A 20,409-nucleotide genomic window follows, 5' to 3' on the forward strand; every position below is an offset into this window, starting at 1 on the left:
CCAGCCTTGCATCCCAGGGATGAAGCCCACTTGATCATGGTGGATAAGCTTTTTGATATGCTGCTGGATTCGATTTGCCAGTATTTTATTGAGGATTTTTGCATCAATGTTCATCAAGGATATTCATCTAAAATACTCTTTTTTGGTTGTATCTCTGCCCGGCTTTGGTATCAGGATGATGCTGGCCTCATAAAATGAGTTAGGGAGGATTCCCTCTTTTTCTATTGATTGGAATAGTTTCAGAAGGAATGGTACCAGTTCCTCCTTGTACCTCTGGTAGAATTCGGCTGTGAATCCATCTGGTCCTGGACTCTTTTTGGTTGGTAAGCTATTGATTATTGCCACAATTTCAGAGCCTGTTATTGGCCTATTCAGAGAGTCAACTTCTTCCTGGTTTAGTCTTGGGAGAGTGTATGTGTCAAGGAATTTATTCGTTTCTTCTAGATTTTCTAGTTTATTTGCGTAGAGGTGTTTGTAGTATTCTCTGATGGCAGTTTGTATTTCTGTGGGATCAGTGGTGATATCCCCTTTATCATTTTTATTGCATCTATTTGATTTTTCTCTCTTTTCTTCTTTATTTGTCTTGCTAGTGGTCTATCAGTTTTGTTGATCCTTTCAAAAAACCACCTCCTGGATTCATTAATTTTTTGAAGGGTGTTTTTGTGTCTCTATTTCTTTCAGTTCTGTTCTGATTTTATTTGTTTCTTGCCTTCTGCTAGCTTTCCATGTAGTTGAGTGGTTTTGAGTGAGTTTCTTAATCCTGAGTTCTAGTTTGATTGCACTGTGGTCTGAGAGACAGTTTGTTATAATTTGTATTCTTTTACATTTGTTGAGGAGAGCTTTACTTCCAACTATGTGGTCAATTTTGGAATAGGTGTGGTGTGGTGTTGAAAAAAATGTATATTCTGTTGATTTGGGGTGGAGAGTTCTGTAGATGTTTATTAGGTCCGCTTGGTGCAGAGCTGAGTTCAGTTCCTGGGTATCCTTGTTAACTTTCTGTCTCGTTGATCTGTCTAATGTTGACAGTGGGGTGTTAAAGTCTCCCATTATTATTGTGTGGGAGTCTAAGTCTCTTTGTAGGTCACTAAGGACTTGCGTTATGAATCTGGGTGCTCCTGTATTGGGTGCATATATATTTAGGATAGTTAGCTCTTCTTGTTGAATTGATCCCTTTACCATTATGTAATGTCCTTCTTTGTCTCTTTTGATCTTTGTTGGTTTAAAGTCTCTTTTATCAGAGACTAGGATTGCAACCCCTGCCTTTTTTTGTTTTCCATTTGCTTGGTAGCTCTTCCTGCATCCTTTTATTTTGAGCCTATATGTGTCTCTGCACATGAGATGGGTTTCCTGAATACAGCACACTGATGGGTGTTGACTCTTTATCCAATTTGCCGGTGTGTGTCTTTTAATTGCAGCATTTAGTCCGTTTACATTTAAAGTTAATATTGTTATATGTGAATTTGATCCTGTCATTATGATGTTAGCTAGTTATTTTGCTCGTTAGTTGATGCAGTTTCTTCCTAGTCTCAATGGTCTTTACCTTTTGGCATGATTTTGCAGCGGCTGGTACCGGTTGTTCCTTTCCATGTTTAGCACTTCCTTCAGGAGCTCCTTTAGGGCAGGCCTGGTGGTGACAAAATCTCTCAGCATTTGCTTGTCTGTAAAATATTTTATTTCTCCTTCACTTATGAAGCTTAGTTTGGCTGGAAATGAAATTCTGGGTTGAAAATTCTTTTCCTTAAGAATGTTGAATATTGGACCCCACTCTCTTCTGGCTTGTAGAATTTCTGCTGAGAGATCTGCTGTTAGTCTGATGGGCTTCCCTTTGTGGGTAACCAGACCTTTCTCTCTGGCTGCCCTTAACATTTTTTCCTTCATTTCAACCTTGGTGAATCTGATAATTATGTGTCTTGGAGTTGCTCTTCTCAAGGAGTATCTTTGTGGCATTCTCTGTATTTCCTGAATCTGAATGTTGGCCTGCCTTGCTAGATTGGGGAAGTTCTCCTGGATAATATCCTGCATAGTGTTTTCCAACTTGGTTCCATTCTCCCCGTCACTTTCAGGTACACCAATCAGATGTAGATTTGGTCTTTTCACATAGTCCCATATTTCTTGGAGTGTTTGTTCATTTCTTTTTATTCTTTTATCTCTAAACTTCCCTTCTCGCTTCATTTCATTCATTTCATCTTCCATCACTGATAACCTTTCTTCCAGTTGATCGCATCGGCTCCTGAGGCTTCTGCATTCTTCACGTAGTTCTCGAGCCTTGGCTTTCAGCTCCATCAGCTCCTTTAAGCACTTCTCTGTGTTGGTTATTCTAGTTATACATTCTTCTAAATTTTTTTCAAAGTTTTCAACTTCTTTTCCTTTGGTTTGAATTTCCTCCTGTAGCTCAGAGTAATTTGATCATCTGAAGCCTTCTTCTCTCAACTCGTCAAAATCATTCTCCATCCAGCTTTGTTCCGTTGCTGGTGAGGAACTGCGTTCCTTTGGAGGAGGAGAGGTGCTCTGCTTTTTAGAGTTTCCAGTTTTTCTGTTGTTTTTTCCCCATCTTTGTGGTTTTATCTACTTTTGGTCTTTGATTATGGTGATGTACAGATGGGTTTTTGGTGTGAATGTCCTTTCTGTTTGTTAGTTTTCCTTCTAACAGACAGGACCCTCAGCTGCAGGTCTGTTGGAGTTTGCTAGGGGTCCACTCCAGATGCTGTTTTCCTGGGTATCAGCAGCGGTGTCTGCAGAACCGTGGATTTTCATGATCTGTGAATGCTGCTGTCTGATCGTTCCTCTGGAAGTTTTGTCTCAGAGAAGTACCCGGCCATGTGAGGTGTCAGTCTGCCCCTACTGTGGGGTGCCTCCCAGTTAGGCTGCTCGGGGGTCAGGCGTCAGGGACCCACTTGAGGAGGCAGTCTGCCCATTCTCAGATCTCCAGTTGCATGCTGGGAGAACCACTTTCAAAGCTTGCAAATTTTTTTCTAGTCCCATACCAGGGACATACCCTATTTCATGCATTGTATGTTGACTTTGAGGGCTATATAATTGTTCTGGAATTAGAACTTGTGCTCCCCACTGTTGTAATAAATCTCTTCCCCATAAATTTATAGGTAGAGAAGTTATAATTGGTTGAATAGCCCCAGGTTGTCTATCGGGCCCTTCACAATGTAAAATATAACTACTTTGATATACTTCAGCAGCTTTCCCAACTCCAACTATGTTAAATTGAGTGGGTTGAATTGGCCATGTGGACCACCAGTGCTGTAGAGAAATGATTGAAATATCCGCTCCTGTATCTACCAAACCTTTAAATTTCTTTCCCCGAATAGTTATTTCACAGGTAGGATGTTTATCAGTAATTTGTTTTACCCAATAAGCTGCTTTGCCTTGTTTATTTGTGCTTCCAAATCCTCCTGTTCATTTAATTTCACTTTTTCCTATTCCCACATATAGCACAATCAGGAGCTGTGCTATGCACTCTCCTGGCTCTGCTTTCCAGGGAACAGAAGTAGATATAACAGTTTGAATTTCCCCATTATAATCTGAAACAATGACTCCTGTATGTATTTGTGCCCCTTTTAAACCTAAACTATGAACAGACACTTCTCAAAAGAAGACATTTATGCAGCCAAAAAACACATGAAAAAATGCTCATCATCACTGGCCATCAGAGAAATGCAAATCAAAACCACAATGAGATACCGTCTCACACCAGTTAGAATGGCAATCATTAAAAAGTCAGGAAACAACAGGTGCTTGGGAGGATGTGGAGAAATAGGAACACTTTTACACTGTTGGTGGGACTGTAAACTGGTTCAACCATTGTGGAAGTCAGTGTGGCAATTCCTCCGGGATCTGGAACTAGAAATACCATTTGACTCAGCCAACCCATTACTGGGTATATACCCAAAGGATTATAAATCATGCTGCTATAAAGACACATGCACACATATGTTTATTGTGGTGCTGTTCACAATGGCAAAGACTTGGAACCAACCCAAATGTTCATCAATGATAGACTGGATTAAGAAAATGTGGCACATATACACCATGGAATACTATGCAGCCATAAAAAATGATGAGTTCATGTCCTTGGTAGGGACATGGATGAAGCTGGAAAACCATCATTCTCAGCAAACTATCACAAGGACAAAAAACCAAACACCGCATGTTCTCACTCATAGGTGTGAATTGAACAGTGAGAACACATGGACACAGGAGGGGGAACATCACACACCAGGGACTGTTGTGGGGTGGGGGGAGTGGGGAGGGATAGCTTTAGGAGATATACCTAATACTAAATGATGAGTTGATGGGTGCAGCACACCAACTTGGCACATGTATACATATGTAACAAACCTGCACATTGTGCACATGTACCCTAAAACTTAAAGCAGAATAATAATAAAATTTTTTAAAATGTCAAAAAAAAAAAAAACCTAAACTAGACCTTCCTAAAAGTAATCCTATTGTCCCTGCTAGCAAGGGTCCACAGACTCCTGTTGGGACCTTTTGCAGGGTGTTCCCCAGGCAGAAGGCTCACAGCTCTTGTGCAGCATTAATCTACTACAGCTCTACCAGCTGTGGCAGGGGACAGACATTGTACTGGGTTGAGGGAATGGCCTGAGCTGGAAATGCCCCAGTTTAGAATGCAGCCTGGGACGGGCCCCTCATGGCATTTCCTGAAATCAGGTTCCCTTCTTTATCAGAGTGACACTGATTACCCCAATGTTTTCCTTGTTTACATTTTGGACATATTTCAGGATCAGCAGTTTTCTTTTTTCCCCTATCTGGTGGCCTGACTCACTGACTTTTTTCTATATTCTTTTTTAGTATGACCATGCTTCCCACAGTTAAAACAAACTCCAGGAAATGGAGTATTTCCTTTATCCACTCTCAGTCCCGCTGTTGCCTGTGCCAACAAAGCAGCTTTATGCAGATTACCTCCGATACCGTCACAGGCCTTGATATAATCAGCTAAATGTGCTTTCCCTCTGATAGGTCACTGAGAAGCCTGGCAATCTCGATTAGCATTATTGAAAGCTAATAACTGCAGCCCTATATACTGGGCAGCTGAATCTGTAATCATCTTTTTAAGAGACTACTGTAACAGAGCTATAAAATCAACATATGGTTCTCTTAGTCCCTGTTTTATAGCACTAAAGGAAAGGTACTGTTCCCCATCTGAAGCAATTTTTTCCCAAGCTCTAATGCACACTCCTCTAAGCTGTTCTATGACATCATCCTGCATGACAAGTTGTGCATCTAAACCAGCCCAGGTGCTAACCCCAAAAGTTGGTCTGCAGTTATATTAATTTGAGGTTGGGCATGGGCATTCTGAGCAGCCTGAATGGAAGCTTCATCTGCCCACCAAGTTTTAAATTGTAAGAACTGAGCAGGAGTTAGACAAGCTCGAGTAAGAGCATCCCAGTCAGCAGGAATCATCTGATTGGAAACAGCAACATTCTTTAACAGTCCCATTACAAAAGGAGAACCTGGTCCATACTGATTTATAGCTTGTTTAAATTCTTTGAGTAATTTAAAAGGAAAAGGCTCAAATGTAGCTATAATATTTCGCTGTTGATCTAGGGAAATATTATATATATATTATCCTGTATTCTAACAGGAAACTGCCAAGCCTCTAATCACCCTCTTGTCTAGCTTGCTGAATTCCTGCCTGAATAGAACTAAGAGTGGTAGCTTGAGGCACTGCTCAAACAGTCACTGGGGCAACTACTTTTTGCCTAGTGTCCTCCAGAAAAGAAAGATCTGGAGCGTCTTTTTCTTCAAAATAATAACGAGGGGGTGCAGAAGGGTAGGGATGAACCTCTCCTTCCTTTGCCGCTTTAGCTTTAGCTGGTAAATAAACATGCTCTGTAACCTCTTCTGCTACTTTGTTATACTCTCCTTCCTCCTCCTCATCAGTGTGAAAAAGTTCCAAGGTGGAATGAACCACACCCCACACTTGTCTCATTGTTACCCTGATGCTTCTGAACTCCCCTTCTTACTCACCATGGGGATTGCTTTAAGAGTACTCAGGTGTCCTCCAGCTAGTTTTCCATTCCAACCATCACTCCGGCGACACTTCAACCTGGATTCGACCCCCCGATGAACGCCACTTGCCGAGACCAGCTCAGTCGGGGAGACCCTAACCCAGCGGCGCTAGAGGAATTAAAGACACACACACAGAAATATAGAGGTGCGAAGTGGGAAATCTGGGGTCTCACAGTCTTCAGAGCTGAAAGCCCTGAAGAGAGATTTACCCACGTATTTATTAACAGCAAACCAGTCATTAGCATTGTTTCTATAGATATTAAATTAACTAAAATATCCCTTATGGGAAACGAAGGGATGGGCCGAATTAAAGGAATAGGTTGGGCTAGTTAACTGAAGCAGGAGCATGTCCTTAAGGCACAGATCACTCATGCTATTGTTTGTGGCTTAAGAATGCCTTTAAGTGGTTTTCTGCCCTGGGCAGGCCAGGTGTTCCTTGCCCTCATTCCCGTAAACCCACAACCTTCCAGCGTGGGCATTAGGGCCCTTATGAACATGTTACAGTGCTGCAGAGATTTTGTTTATGGCCAGTTTTGGGGCCAGTTTATGGCCAGATTTTGGGGGGCCTGCTCCCAACAGATTTTATTGTTTATCTTTTATCTTAAGACTTGGCTAAAAAGAATAGTACCCCTTTACTTTTGGTAGTTAAAATTTTACTTCCATACTGCAATGACTAAATCTCTATTGTAAGGCTTCGAGGCAAGATGACCACCCACTCCAAGCATGTGGAGGAAGGACTCAGATGCTGGGGTGAAGGGGGAGTAAGCTGGGAACCCTACATAAGGTTACTGTACACTGGGACTCATTCCTGATCCCCAACAATGCCTGGGGTAGAGATGACTTGAACAAGTGATGAATGACCCACTCTCACTACAGGCCTCTGGAATCCTGGCAGCAGGAAACCCCACGAACCCCATGGACATTTGAGCTGACAGGGAGAAGCACATCAAAAAGCCAATCCACCACAATCAAATGGGCTTTATTCTTGGGATGCAAAGTTGATTCATCATACACAAATCAATGAATGTGATTCACCACTTAAACAGAACTAAAAACAGAAACCACATGATCATCTCAATAGATGCAGAAAAAGCTTTTGATAAAATTCGACATCCCTTCATGGTTAAAATCCTCAACAAACTAGGCACTGAAGAAACATACCTCAAAATAATAAGTCATCTATGACAAATCCATAGCCAACATCATACTGAATGGGCAAAAGCTGGAAGCATTCTCCTTGAAAAACGGAATAAAACAAGGATGGCCTCTCTCACCGCTCCTAGTCAACACAGTACTGAAAGTCCTAGCCAGAGCAATCAGGTAAGAAAAAGAAATAAAAGGCATCCAAATGAGAAGAGAGAAAGCCAAACTATTCCTGTTTCATAAAATATGATTCTACATGTAGAAAACTCCATAGTCATTCTTAGCAAATTGATAAGAGTTAGTATAATATTGGTTTCAGGCATGTATTCCATGTTTCTTCTTAATTATTTTGAGGTACTTTGCTTTTCATACCTTTAATAGCACTTCTTTATTGAAATATAAATTATTTCTAATCAAGTTATCAGTCAAAAGAACAAACAACGTGATTTTTCCCTCTCTCTAGAATCAGTTATCTAACAGCCTATCAACATGGGGAAAAAACTATGTATAGGCCCAAGTCTCAGTGCTGTCCAGGATTCTATGAAAGCAAGAAAATGTGTGTACATGTGTAAGACTTTCACCCATTTGGGGTTTGCTTGTTTTTCCCAGTGCTGGTTTCCTTCTGTTAATGGCAGTTGAGATGGAGTTTTGGGGATATGGGCTTCTTGGAACATTTCCTTTTACTCCGGCTGCTATTTCCCTGGCTTTTGTAATGAGGGAAGCATTAGCTCTGTATCCCTGTTTCATCCGAAGTCTCCAAATGAATGTTGCTTGAAAAGAAAACAGTTGTTACAGAAGGATGATTCAAGGATGGATGTGGTGATGTTAATTGCAATTCTTCAGTAAATGTCCCATGGGGGAAAAGAAAAGAAAGAAAACCCCATAGTCTCTGCCTAAAAGCTCCTTGATCTGACAAACAGCTTCAGCAAAGTTTCAGGGTACAAAATCAGCATACGAAAATCAGTAGTATTCCTATATTCCAACAACATTCAAGCTGAGAGCCAAATTAAGGATGCATTCCCATTTACGATACCCCCCCCCAAAAAATAACATAAAATACCTATGAATGCGGCTAACCAGGGAGGTGAAAGATCTCTACAATGAGATTTACAAAACACTGTGCAAAGTAGTCAGAAATGACACCAAAACATGGAAGAATATTTCATGATTATGGGTAGGAAGACTCAATATTGTTTAGATAAACATACTGCCCAATTTACAGACTCAATGCTATTCCTATCAAACTATTAATGACATTCTTAAGAGAATTAGAGAAGTCTATTTTAAAATTCATATGGAACCAAAAAAGAGCCCAAATAGCCAAGGTAATCCTAAGCCAAAAGAACAAAGCTGGAGGCATTACATTACCCAACTTAAAACTATACTACAAGGCTACAGTAACAAAAACAGCATGGTACTGATATGAAACAGACACACAGACCAACGGAGCAGAACAGACAGGTCAGAAATAATGCTGCACTTCTACAACCATCTGATCCTTGACAAAGTCGACAAATACAAGCAATAAGGAAATGACTACCTATTCAATAAATCGTGCTGGGATAAATGGTTAACCATCAGAAGATTGAAACTGGACCCTTTCCTTACATAATATAAAAAAATCAACTCAAAATGGATTAAAGACTTAAATGTAAAACCTAAACCTATGAAAACCCTGGAAGATAACCTGGGAAATACCATTCTGAACAGAAGACCTGGAAAAGATTTCATGATGAAGATGCCAAAAGCAATTGCAACAAAACGAAATTTAACAAACGGAACCTAACTAAACTAAAGAGCTTCTGCACAGCAAAAGAAACTATCAACAGAGTAAACAGACAACCTACAGAATAAGAATATATTTACAAACTATTATTCGACTAAAGTCTAATATTTGGAATCTATAAGAATTTAAACAAATTAACAAGCAAAGAACAAACAACCTTACAAAAAAAAGTAGGCAAAGGACATGAACAGACATTTTTCAAAAGAAGACATACAAGCAGCCAGCAAGTATATGAAAAAATGCTCAACATCACTAATCATTAGAGAAATGCAAATCAAATGCATTTGAAATCCCTTCTTGCATCAGCTAGAATGGATATCATTAAAAAGCCAAAAATTAACAGATGCTGGTGAGGTTGTGGAGAAAGGAGAAGGCTTATACGTTGCTGGTGAAGATGTAAATTAGTTCAACCATTGTGGAAAGCAGTGTGGTGATTTCTCAAAAAACTTAAAACAGAAGTACCATTCAACCCAGAAATCCCATTATTGGGTATATATTCAAAGCAATATAAATTGTTCTACCATAAAGACACATGTACTCATATATTCATTGGAGCACTATTCACAATAGCAACATGAAATCAACCCAAATGCCCATCAATAGTAGAATGGATAAAGAAAATGTGGTACACGTACACCATGGAATATGATGCAGCCATAAAAAAGATTAGATCATGTCTTTTGTGCAATATGGCTGAAGTTGTAGGTTATTATTCTAAGTGAAATAACACAGGAACAGAAAAACAAATACCACATGTTCTCATTTAGAAATGAGAGGTAAACATTGAGTACATACAGACATGAAAAAGGGAACAGACACTAGAACCTGCTTGAGGGTAGAGGAAGGGAGAAGTGTGAGGATCAAAAAACTACCTATTGAATACTATGCTTATTACCTGGGTAACAAAATAATCTATATGCCAAACCCCTGTGACGTGCAATTTACCTATGTAACAAACATGTACGGGTACCCCAAGCCTAAAGTAAAAGTTAAATAAATAAATAAATCTTTATTGTAAATTTTACCCCCTGCATCCAAAAATATTTTTCCTTTCTTGTCTTCACCCTAAAATCAGAGGTTTTGAGCTCGTGGCTGGTTGCTGACAGTGGACATAATCTGTTTTATCTTTTCTCCATCCCATGTTCTATTATATCATGATCAATTGTTTCACTCAGAAATTCAATGAATTTCAAGATAATCATGGTACTATTGTGACCTACGCAGGCTAAGGGCATTTCTAAAGGAAACAAAGAAATCATAAGGTTACTGTTGTTAAAATTTCATAAAATGAGTTTATTTCTGCACACATAATGAAAAATACTAATTTTTCTAGAGTTCTTATAAAATTATTTAGTGCAATTTAACTTACTAGAAATAAAAAATTATACCTAAAAATGATATAGACTATTATGTGCAAGAAATTTTACATATGAAAATCCAGTATTTGACACAGGCAAAGCATGTCAAACATTTTTTTCTACAAAATTTTACAGAAAATTTAATATTCTCAGGATAAACAATTCTTGCACAATTCCTTTTGATCATGCATTTCAAAATATTGAACAAATGAGAACTCTGATCAGTAGTGCATAAAAGTGAAGGAATTAAGGAAAGTGTTACAAAAGTGACTCTATGTAGTAAGGTCTAAAGAATATAAATTATTGCATAAGTTTTATGAACAACTTTTAAAAGCCATATTTAAGCATTTAAATTACATTTCTTATTTAGTTCCTCTTATGAGTTTTAATTTAGTGCCATGATGTTCACAATATCATTAAAGATTTTTCAGTATCTGAACACTGCCTTGTAGTGCACACTTATTTATGAATATAGATATGGAACATTTTCACAGATTAGTTAAACTTTCTCCTTTATATCTATCTTGCTTTTATAAAAATCAGAGTCAATACAAAGATGTTTCAGGTGATTAAAAAGTTTGTCAACACACAAAGTCGATAAAAATAAGCAATGGGAAAAGAATTCCCTATTCAGTAAATGCTGTGGGGATAACTGGTTGGTGGAAGAATGAAACTGGACCCCTAACTTTCACCAGGTACAAAAACTGGTAATGCAAGAAGGATTAAAGATTTAAATGTAAGATCTCAAACTATAAAAATCCTATAAGATAACCTAGGAAATACGATTTGGACTTCAGCCTTGGCAAAAAATTTATGCCTAAGTCCTCAAAAGCAATTTCAACAAAAACAAAAATTGACAAATGGGACCTAATTAAACAAAAAAGCTCTGTGCAGCAAAAAAAGAAACTATCAATAGAGTAAACAGACGACCTACAGAAAGGGAGAAAATATTTGCAAGCTATGCATCTGACAAAGGCATAATATCCAGAATCTATAAGGAACCTCAACAATTCAACAAACAAAAAACGAACTCCATTAAAAAGTGGGCAAAAGACATGAACAGACACTTCTAAAAAGAAGACATACAAGTGGCCAAAAAATGTATGAAAAATGCTCCACATCACTAATCACGTGAAAAATGAAAGTCAAAACCACAGTAAGATGCCCTTTCACAAAAGTCAGACTGGCTATTTTTTAAAAGTCGATAAACAACAGATGCTGGTGAGGCTTCAGAGAAAAGGAAGTGGTTATTCCCTGTTGGTGAGAATGTAAATTAGTTCAGCTACCGTGAAAGCAGTTTAGAGATTTCTCAAAGAACTTAAAGCAGAACTACTATTTGACTAAGCAATCCCATTACTGGGTACATATCCAAAAGAAAATGAATCGTTCTACCAAAATTAGACACATGCATTCATATGTTCATCACAGTACTATTCAGTATCACAATGACATGGAATCAACGTAGGTGCCCATCAATGGTCGATTGGATAAAGAAAATGTGGTACACATACACCATGGAATACTACGGAGTCATTAAAAAGAACAAAATTATGTCCTTTGCAGCAACATGGATGCAGCTGGAGGCCATTATCCTAAGTGAATAAATTCAGGAACAGAAAACCTGCTACCTCATGTTTTCACTTGTAAGTGGGAGCTAAACATTGGATACTCGTGGATATAAGGATGGTAATAATAGACACTGAGGTCCACTAGAGGGGGTAACGGAGGGAGGCAAATATTGAAAAACTACATATTGGGTGCTATGCTCCCTACCCAGGTGACAGAATCATTCATATCCCACACCTCGGCATCCTGCAATATACCCATGTAACAAACATACACATGTAACCCCTGAATTGAAAATGAAAGATGATATTATTTTTAAAAAGCATTTTGTATCAATTTAATATATAAAATTGAAATCAATAAAATATTTGTTTCAAAAAAGGTTGTTAATACAAAGAATGGTCAAGTTTAGCAGCATAAAATATGGAAAGGATATGGTCTTTGGAATCAGACAGAGATTCAAACCCAAGCTTCACCATTTTATAGCAGTGCTAATTTGGGAAAATTACCAACTCTGACTTCAGGCCACTCATCTCTGAAATGCTTATCATAGGATTGCTGAATTTAGACAGATAATAAATATATATATGAAAGTGCTGTGCTTAACACGTGGTGGAATTCCATGTAACTACTTCCCTACACTTTTGTCAGTATGTGTGTTGAGCAAATACCACAGCTCCATATCTGGTTAAATCTGATTATGTAGCTTATATCTGAATTGGGCAATGTCTACCCACAACTTATCAATCTATTGTTTTGACTGTCAGATTCAATCCAAATACCTGTTGACCTTTTGAGAAAAGTTGAGGAATGGATACACTGACGGTTAGTGGCTCCTCTTGTAATCCTGATATTATGGATTGAATTGCGTTTCCATCCAAAATTCATATGTCAAAATCCTAACCCCGGTATCTCAGAATGTAACTCGATTTGAATATAGGTTAAAGGAGTAATGAAGTTAAAATGAAGTCATTATAGTAGGCCCAAATTCAGTAGGACTGGTGTTTCCATAAGAAGAGAAAATTTGGACACAGACACATATAGAGGGAAGACAATGGTAAGATACAAAGAGAAAATGGTCATCTGTAAACGAAAGAGGGATGGGCCCTAAAAAAATCAACCCTGCTGAGAGTTTGATCTTGGACTTTGTAGGCTTCAGAATTGTGAGAAAATTAATTTCCATTTTTTAAACCACCCAGTCTCTCATACTTTGTTGTGGCAACCCTAGAAAAGTAATACATGTGGGTGGATCATTCCAAGATGGCCGAATAGGAACAGCTCTGGTCTGCAGCTCCCAGTGAGATCGAGGCAGAAGATGGGTAATTTCTGCATTTCCAACTGAGGTACCTGGTTCATCTCATTGGGACTGGTTGGAGAGTGGGTGCAGCCCACGGAGGGTGAGTCAAAGCAGGGCGGGGCCTCATCTTGCCTGGGAAGTGTAAGAAGTCAGGGGATTTCCCTTTCCTAGCCAAGGGAAGCCATGACAGATGGTACCTGGAAAATCAGGATGCTCCTGCCCAAATACTGTGCTTTTCCAATGGTCTTAGCAAACAGCACACCAGGAAATTTTATCCTGTGCCTGGCTTGGCAGGTCCCATGCCCACAGAGCCTTGCTCACTGCTAATGTAGCAGTCTGAGATCAAACTGTGAGGTGGCAGCATGGGCTGTGGGAGCGGAGTCTGCCATTGCTGAGGCTTAAGTAGGTAAACAAAGCAGCAGTGAAGCTCAAACGGGGTGGAGCTCACTGCAGCTCAATGAGGCCTGCCTACCTCTGTAGATTCCACTTCTGGGGGCAGGGTATAGCTGAACAAAAGGCAGCAGAAACGTCTGCAGACTTAAACGTCCCTGTCTGACAGCTCTGAAGAGAGCAGTGGTCCTCCATGCATGGAGATTGAGCTCTGAGAACAGACAGACTGCCTCCTCAAGTGGGTCCCTGACCCCTGTGTAGCCTAACTGGGGGATACCTGCCACTAGGGGCCAACTGACACCTCATACAGCCAGTGCCCCTCTGAGACGAAGCTTCCAGAGGAAGGATTAGGCAGCAATATTTGCTGTTCTGCAGCCTCCACTGGTGATATCCAGGCAAAAAGGGTCTGGAGTGGACCTCCAGCAAACTCCAACAGACCTGCAGCTGAGGGTCCTGAGTGTTACAAGGAAAACTAACAAACAGAAAGGAATAGCATCAACATCAACAGAAAGGACATCCACACCAAAACCCCATCTGTAGGTAACCAACATCAAAGACCAAAGGTAGATAAAACCCACAAAGATGAGTAGAAACCAGAGCAGAAAAGCTGAAAATTCTAAAAACCAGAGCGCCTCTTCTCCTCCAAAGGATCGCAGCTCGTTGCCAGCAATGAAACAAAGCTGGATGGAAAATGACTTTGATGAGTTAACAAAAGTAGGCTTCAGAAGGCTGGTAATAACAAATTATCCTAGCTAAAGGAGGATGTTCAAACCCACCGCAAGGAAGCTAAAAACCTTGAAAAAAGATTAGATGAATGGCGAACTAGAATAAACAGCATAGAGAAGACGTTAAATGACCTGATGGAGTGAAAACCATGACATGAGAACTATGTGATGCATGCACAAGCTTCAGTAGCCAATTCAATCAAGTGAAAGAAAGGGTATCAGTAATAGAAGATCAAATGAATGAAATGAAGTGAGAAGAGAAGTTTAGAGAAAAAAGAGTAAAAAGAAATGAACAAAGCCTCCAAGACATATGGGATTATGTGAAAAGACCAAATCTACATTAGATTGGTGTACCTGAAAGTGATGGGGAGAATGGAACCAAGTTGGAAAACACCCTTCAGGACATTATCCAGGAGAACTTCCCCAACCTAGCGAGACAGGCCAACATTCAAAGTCAAGAAATACAGAGAACACCACAAAGATACTCCTTGAGAAGAGCAACCACAAGACACATGATTGTCAGATTCACCCAGATTGAAATGAAGGAAAAAATGTTAAGGGCAGCCAGAGAGAAAGGTTGGGTTACCCACAACGGGAAGCCCATCAGACTAACAGCAGATCCCTCGGCAGAAACTCTACAAGCCAGAAGAGAGTGGGGTCCAATATTCAACATTCTTAAAGAAAAGAATTTTCAAGCCACAATTTCATATCCAGCCAAACTAAGCTTCACAAGTGAAGGAGAAATAAAATCCTTTACAAACAAGCAGATGCTGAGAGATTTTGTCACCACCAGACCTGCCTCACAAGAGCTCCTGAAGGAAGTGCTAAACATGGAAAGGAACAACCGGTACCAGCCACTGCAAAAACATGCCAAATTGTAAAGACCATTGATGCTAAGAAGAAACTGCATCAACTAACGAGCAAAATAACCAGCTAACATCATAATGATATGATCAAATTCACACATAACAGTATTAACTTTAAATGTAAATGGGCTAAATGTGCCAATTAAAAGATTCAGACTGGCAAATTGGGTAAAGAGTCAAGACCCATCAGTGTGCTGTATTCAGAAGACCCATCTCACGTTCGGAGACACACATAGGCTCAAAATAAAAGGATGGAGGAAGATCTACCAAGCAAATGGAAAACAAAAAAAAGCAGGGGTTGCAATACTAGTCTCTGGTAAAACAGACTTTAAACCAACAAAGATCAAATGAGACAAAGAAGGCCATTACATAATGGTAAAGGGATCAATTCAACAAGAAGAGCTAACTATCCTAAATATATATGCACCCAATACAGGAGCACCCAGGTTCATAAGGCAAGTCCTTAGAGACCTAAAAAGAGACTTAGACTCCCACACAATATTAATGGGAGACTTTAACACCTCACTGTCAATATTAGACAGATCAATGAGACAGAAGGTTAGGAAGGATACCCAGGAATTGAACTCAGCTCTGCACCAAGAAGACCTAATAGACATCTACAGAACTCTCCACCCCAAATCAACAGAATATACATTCTTCCCAGCACCACATCACACTTATTCCAAAATTGACCACATAGTTGGAAGTAAAGCTCTCCTCAGCAAATGTAAAAGAACAGAAATCACAACAAACTGTGTCTCAGACCACAGTGTAATCAAATTAGAACTCAGGATTAAGAAACTCACTCAAAACTGCACAACTACATGGACACTGAACAACCTGCACCTGAATGACTACTGGGTAAATAATGAAATGAAGGCAGACATAAAGATGTTCTTTGAAACCATTGAGAACAAAGACACAACATATCAGAATCTCTGGGACACATTTAAAGCAGTGTGTAGAGGGAAATTTATAGCACTAAATGCCCACAAGAGAAAGCAGGAAAGATCTAAAATTGATACCCTAACATCACAATTAAAAGAACTAGAGAAGCAAGAGCAATCAAATTGAAAACTTAGCAGCAGGCAAGAAACAACTAAGATCAGAGCAGAACTAAAGGAAATAGAGACACAAAAAACCATTCAAAAAATCAATGAATCCAGGAGCTGGTTTTTTGAAAGGATCAACAAAATAGATAGACCACTAGCAAGACTAATAAAGAAGAAAAGAGAGAAGAATCAAATAGATGCAATAAAAAATGATAAAGGGGATACCACCACCAATCCCACAGAAACACAAACTACCATCAGAGAATACTATAAACACCTCTGTGAAATAAACTAGAAAATCTAGAAGAAATGGATAAATTCCTGGACACATACACCCTCCAAAAACTAAACCAGGAAGAAGTTGAATCTCTGAATAGACCAATAACAGGCTCTGAAGTTGAGGCAATAATTAACAGCCTACCAAGCAAAAAAAGTCAAGGACTAGATGGATTCACAGTCAAATTCTACCAAAGCTACAAAGAGGAGCTGGTACCATTCCTTCTGAAATTATTCCAGTCAATAGAAAAAGAGGGAATCCTCCCTAACTCATTTTATGAGGCCAGCATCATCCTGATACCAAAGCCTGGCAGAAACACAACAAAAAAAGAGAATTTTAGACCAATATCCCTAATGAACATCGATGCAAAAATCCTCAATAAAATACTGGCAAACCGAATCCAGCAGCACATCAAAAAGCTTATCTCACGATCAAGTGGGCTTTATCCCTGTGATGCAAGGCTGGTTCAACATACACAAATCAATAAACGTAATCCATCATATAAGATGAAATCAAAGACAAAAACCACTTGATTATCTCGATAGATGCAGAAAAGGCCTTCAACAAAATTCAACAGCCCTTCATGCTAAAAACTCTCAAGAAACTAGGTATTGATGGGATGTGTCTCTAAATAATAAGAGCTATTTATGACAAACCCACAGCCAATATCATACTGAATGGGCAAAAACTGGAAGCATTCCCTTTGAAAACTGGCACAAGACAGAGATGCCCTCTCTCACCACTCCTATTCAACATAGTGTTGGAAGTTCTGTCCAGGGCAATCAGGCAGGAGAAAGAAATAAAGGGTATTCAATTAGGAAAAGAGGAAGTCAAATTGTCCCTGTTTGCAGATGACATGATTGTATATTGAGAAAACCCCATCATCTCAGCCCAAATCTCATTAAGTTGATAAGCAACTTCAGCAAAGTCTCAGGATACAAAATCAATGTGCAAAAATCACAAGTATTCCTATATACCAACAACAGACAAACAGAGAGCCAAATCATGAGTGAACTCCCATTCACAACTGCTTCAAAAAGAATAAAATACCTAGGAATTCAACTTACAAGTGATGTGAAGGACCTCTTTGAGGAGAACTACAAACCACTGTTCAACTAAATAAAGAGGACACAAACAAATGGAAGAACATTCCATGCTCATGGATAGGAAGAATCAATATCATGAAAATGGCCATACTGTCCAAGGTAATTTATAGATTCAATGACATCCCCATCAAGATACCAATGACTTTCTTCACAGAATTGGAGAAAACTACTTTAAAGTTCATATGGAGCCAAAAAAGAGTCTGCATTGCCAAGGCAATCCTAAGCAAAAAGAACAAAGCTGGAGGCATCACGCTACCTCACTTCAAACTATACTACAAGTCTACAGTCACCAAAACAGCATGGTACTGGTACCAAAACAGAGATATAGACCAACGGAACAGAACAGAGCCCTCAGAAATAACACCACACATCTACGACCATCTGATCTTTGACAAACCTGAGAAAAACAAGCAATAAGGAAAAGATTCCCTACTTAATAAATGGTGCTGGGAAAACTGGCTAGCCATATGTAGAAAGCTGAAACTGCATCCCTTCCTCACACCTTATACAAAAATTAATTCAATGTGGATTAAAGACTTACATGTTAGACCTAAAACCATAAAAACCCTAGAAGAAAACCTAGGCAATACCATTCAGGACATAGGCATGGGCAAGGACTTCATGTCTAAAACACCAAAAGCAATGGCAATGAAAGCCAAAATTGACAAATGGGATCTAATTAAACTAAAGAGCTTCTGCACAGCAAAAGAAACTACTATCAGAGTGAACAGGCAACCTACAAAATGGGAGAAAATTTTTGCAATCTATCTATCTGGCAGCAGGCTAATATCCAGAATCTACAAAGAACTCAAACAAATTTACAAGAAAAAATCAAACAAACCCATCAAAAGTGGGCAAAGGATATGAACAGACACTTCTCAAAAGAAGACATTTATGCAGTCAAAAAACACATGAAAAAATGCTCATCATCACTGGCCATCAGAGCAATGCAAATCAAAACCACAATGAGATACCATCTCACACCAGTTAGAATGGCAATCATTAAAAAGTCAGGAAACAACAGGTGCTGGAGAGGATATGGAGAAATAGGAACACTTTTACATTGTTGGCGGGACAGTAAACTAGTTCAACCATTGTGGAAGACAGTGTGGCGATTCCTCTAGGATCTAGAACTAGAAATGCCATTTGACCCAGCCATCCCATTACTGGGTATACACCCAAAGGATTATAAATCATGCTGCCATAAAGACACATGCACAGGTATGTTTATTGTGGCACTATTCACAATAGCAAAGACTTGGAACCAACCCAAATGTCCAACAATGATAGACTGGATAAAGAAAATGTGGCACATATACACCATGGAATACTATGCAGCCATAAAAAAGGATAAGTTCATGTCCTTTGTAGGGAAGTAGATGAAGCTGGAAACCATCATTCTGTGGAAACTATCGCAAGGACAGAAAACCAGACATTGCATGTTCTCACTCATAGGTGCGAATTGAACAATGAGAACATGTGGACACAGGGCGGGGAACATCACGCAGCGAGCCTGTTATGGAGTGGGGGGAGAGGGGAGGGATAGCATTAAGAGAAATACCTAATGTAAATGACAAGTTAATGGGTGCAGCACACCAACATGGCACACGTATACATATGTAACAAACCTGCACTTTGTGCACACGTACCCTAGAACTTAAAGTATAATAAAAAAAAGAAAATGAATACATTTGGTACACACAATTTTGCCGTAAAGGTAGATCTTCCTAATACTTCTACTGAAATACATTTTTATGTCTTTTGGTAAACAATTTTCATAGTTTTAATTTCATTAGGTTGAATTCATTATGAAAGTAACATTATTCTTACCCTTGTTATGATAAGATTTAGAATTATACCTCTTCCTTTTGAAAAAATACATATCTAAAGAAACTTTTTATTCATATTTAAGGACTCCCACTGGTCACATAATTCAGATGCAATTAACAAGTTCTTGGAGAGCATGGATGTGGGTGATGGTGTCTAAAGGGAGGCTTGTCAATGCCTAGTAGGAATGAGGAATAGAATTCTTGCATTTTCATTATGAAACTGGAGATAGCTTATTAATAGAAAAACCTTGAAATAATTGTAGGAGGCATAGCTTTTTTGTGTCGTATGTGAGTAGCATAAAGTATTAACTTATTTCCATGTGGTGAATATTTCAAGTACATAAAATCATTTTCCACCCCAAAAGTACAATTGACAGGTTTATTTCTATGTTAGCACTTTTCATTTTAATTAATTAGAATATAATAGTTTAACTCGTTTAGTCAAAGTTTATGATCATTCTGTTTCCAGACAAAGCAAAGCAAAATAAATAAAACACAGGTAAATACAAAACTGTTTAAAAATTTAGTGGTAAGTATGGCAGAGTCAGCATCCATGATCATGTAGTGCTGTACTTCTCTTTCATGTTGATTACAAAAAATGAACTTAAGTTTTCCAAAGACATAGCTATAGTTAAATGGTTCTACACAAAAGTCATGATTATATAACAATAAATTCTAATATTTATGCTCTAAAATTGGTTCTACCTTAATTACCATAATTCACTGATATGGCAGCCCAACTGATACCTGAGGTTCAACCCTATGAAAAGGAAAATGTCTGAATCTACCAACTATGTATTCAGCCAGGTACCTGGCTAGAGAAAGCTTTCTCTGTCCACATCTGATCCCCATAGCCCTCCCAGGAGATCAGAAGTTTATTCTTTGTGTCCAGGGACTCCAGGCAATAGTCAAGACTGGAATGAGGTGGCAAGTTAAAAACAAGGAACTTGAGAGAATGTTTCCATAATG

Source organism: Homo sapiens, chromosome 12 (genome assembly GCF_000001405.40).
Source record: "Homo sapiens chromosome 12, GRCh38.p14 Primary Assembly".
Classification (NCBI taxonomy): Eukaryota; Metazoa; Chordata; class Mammalia; order Primates; family Hominidae; genus Homo; species Homo sapiens.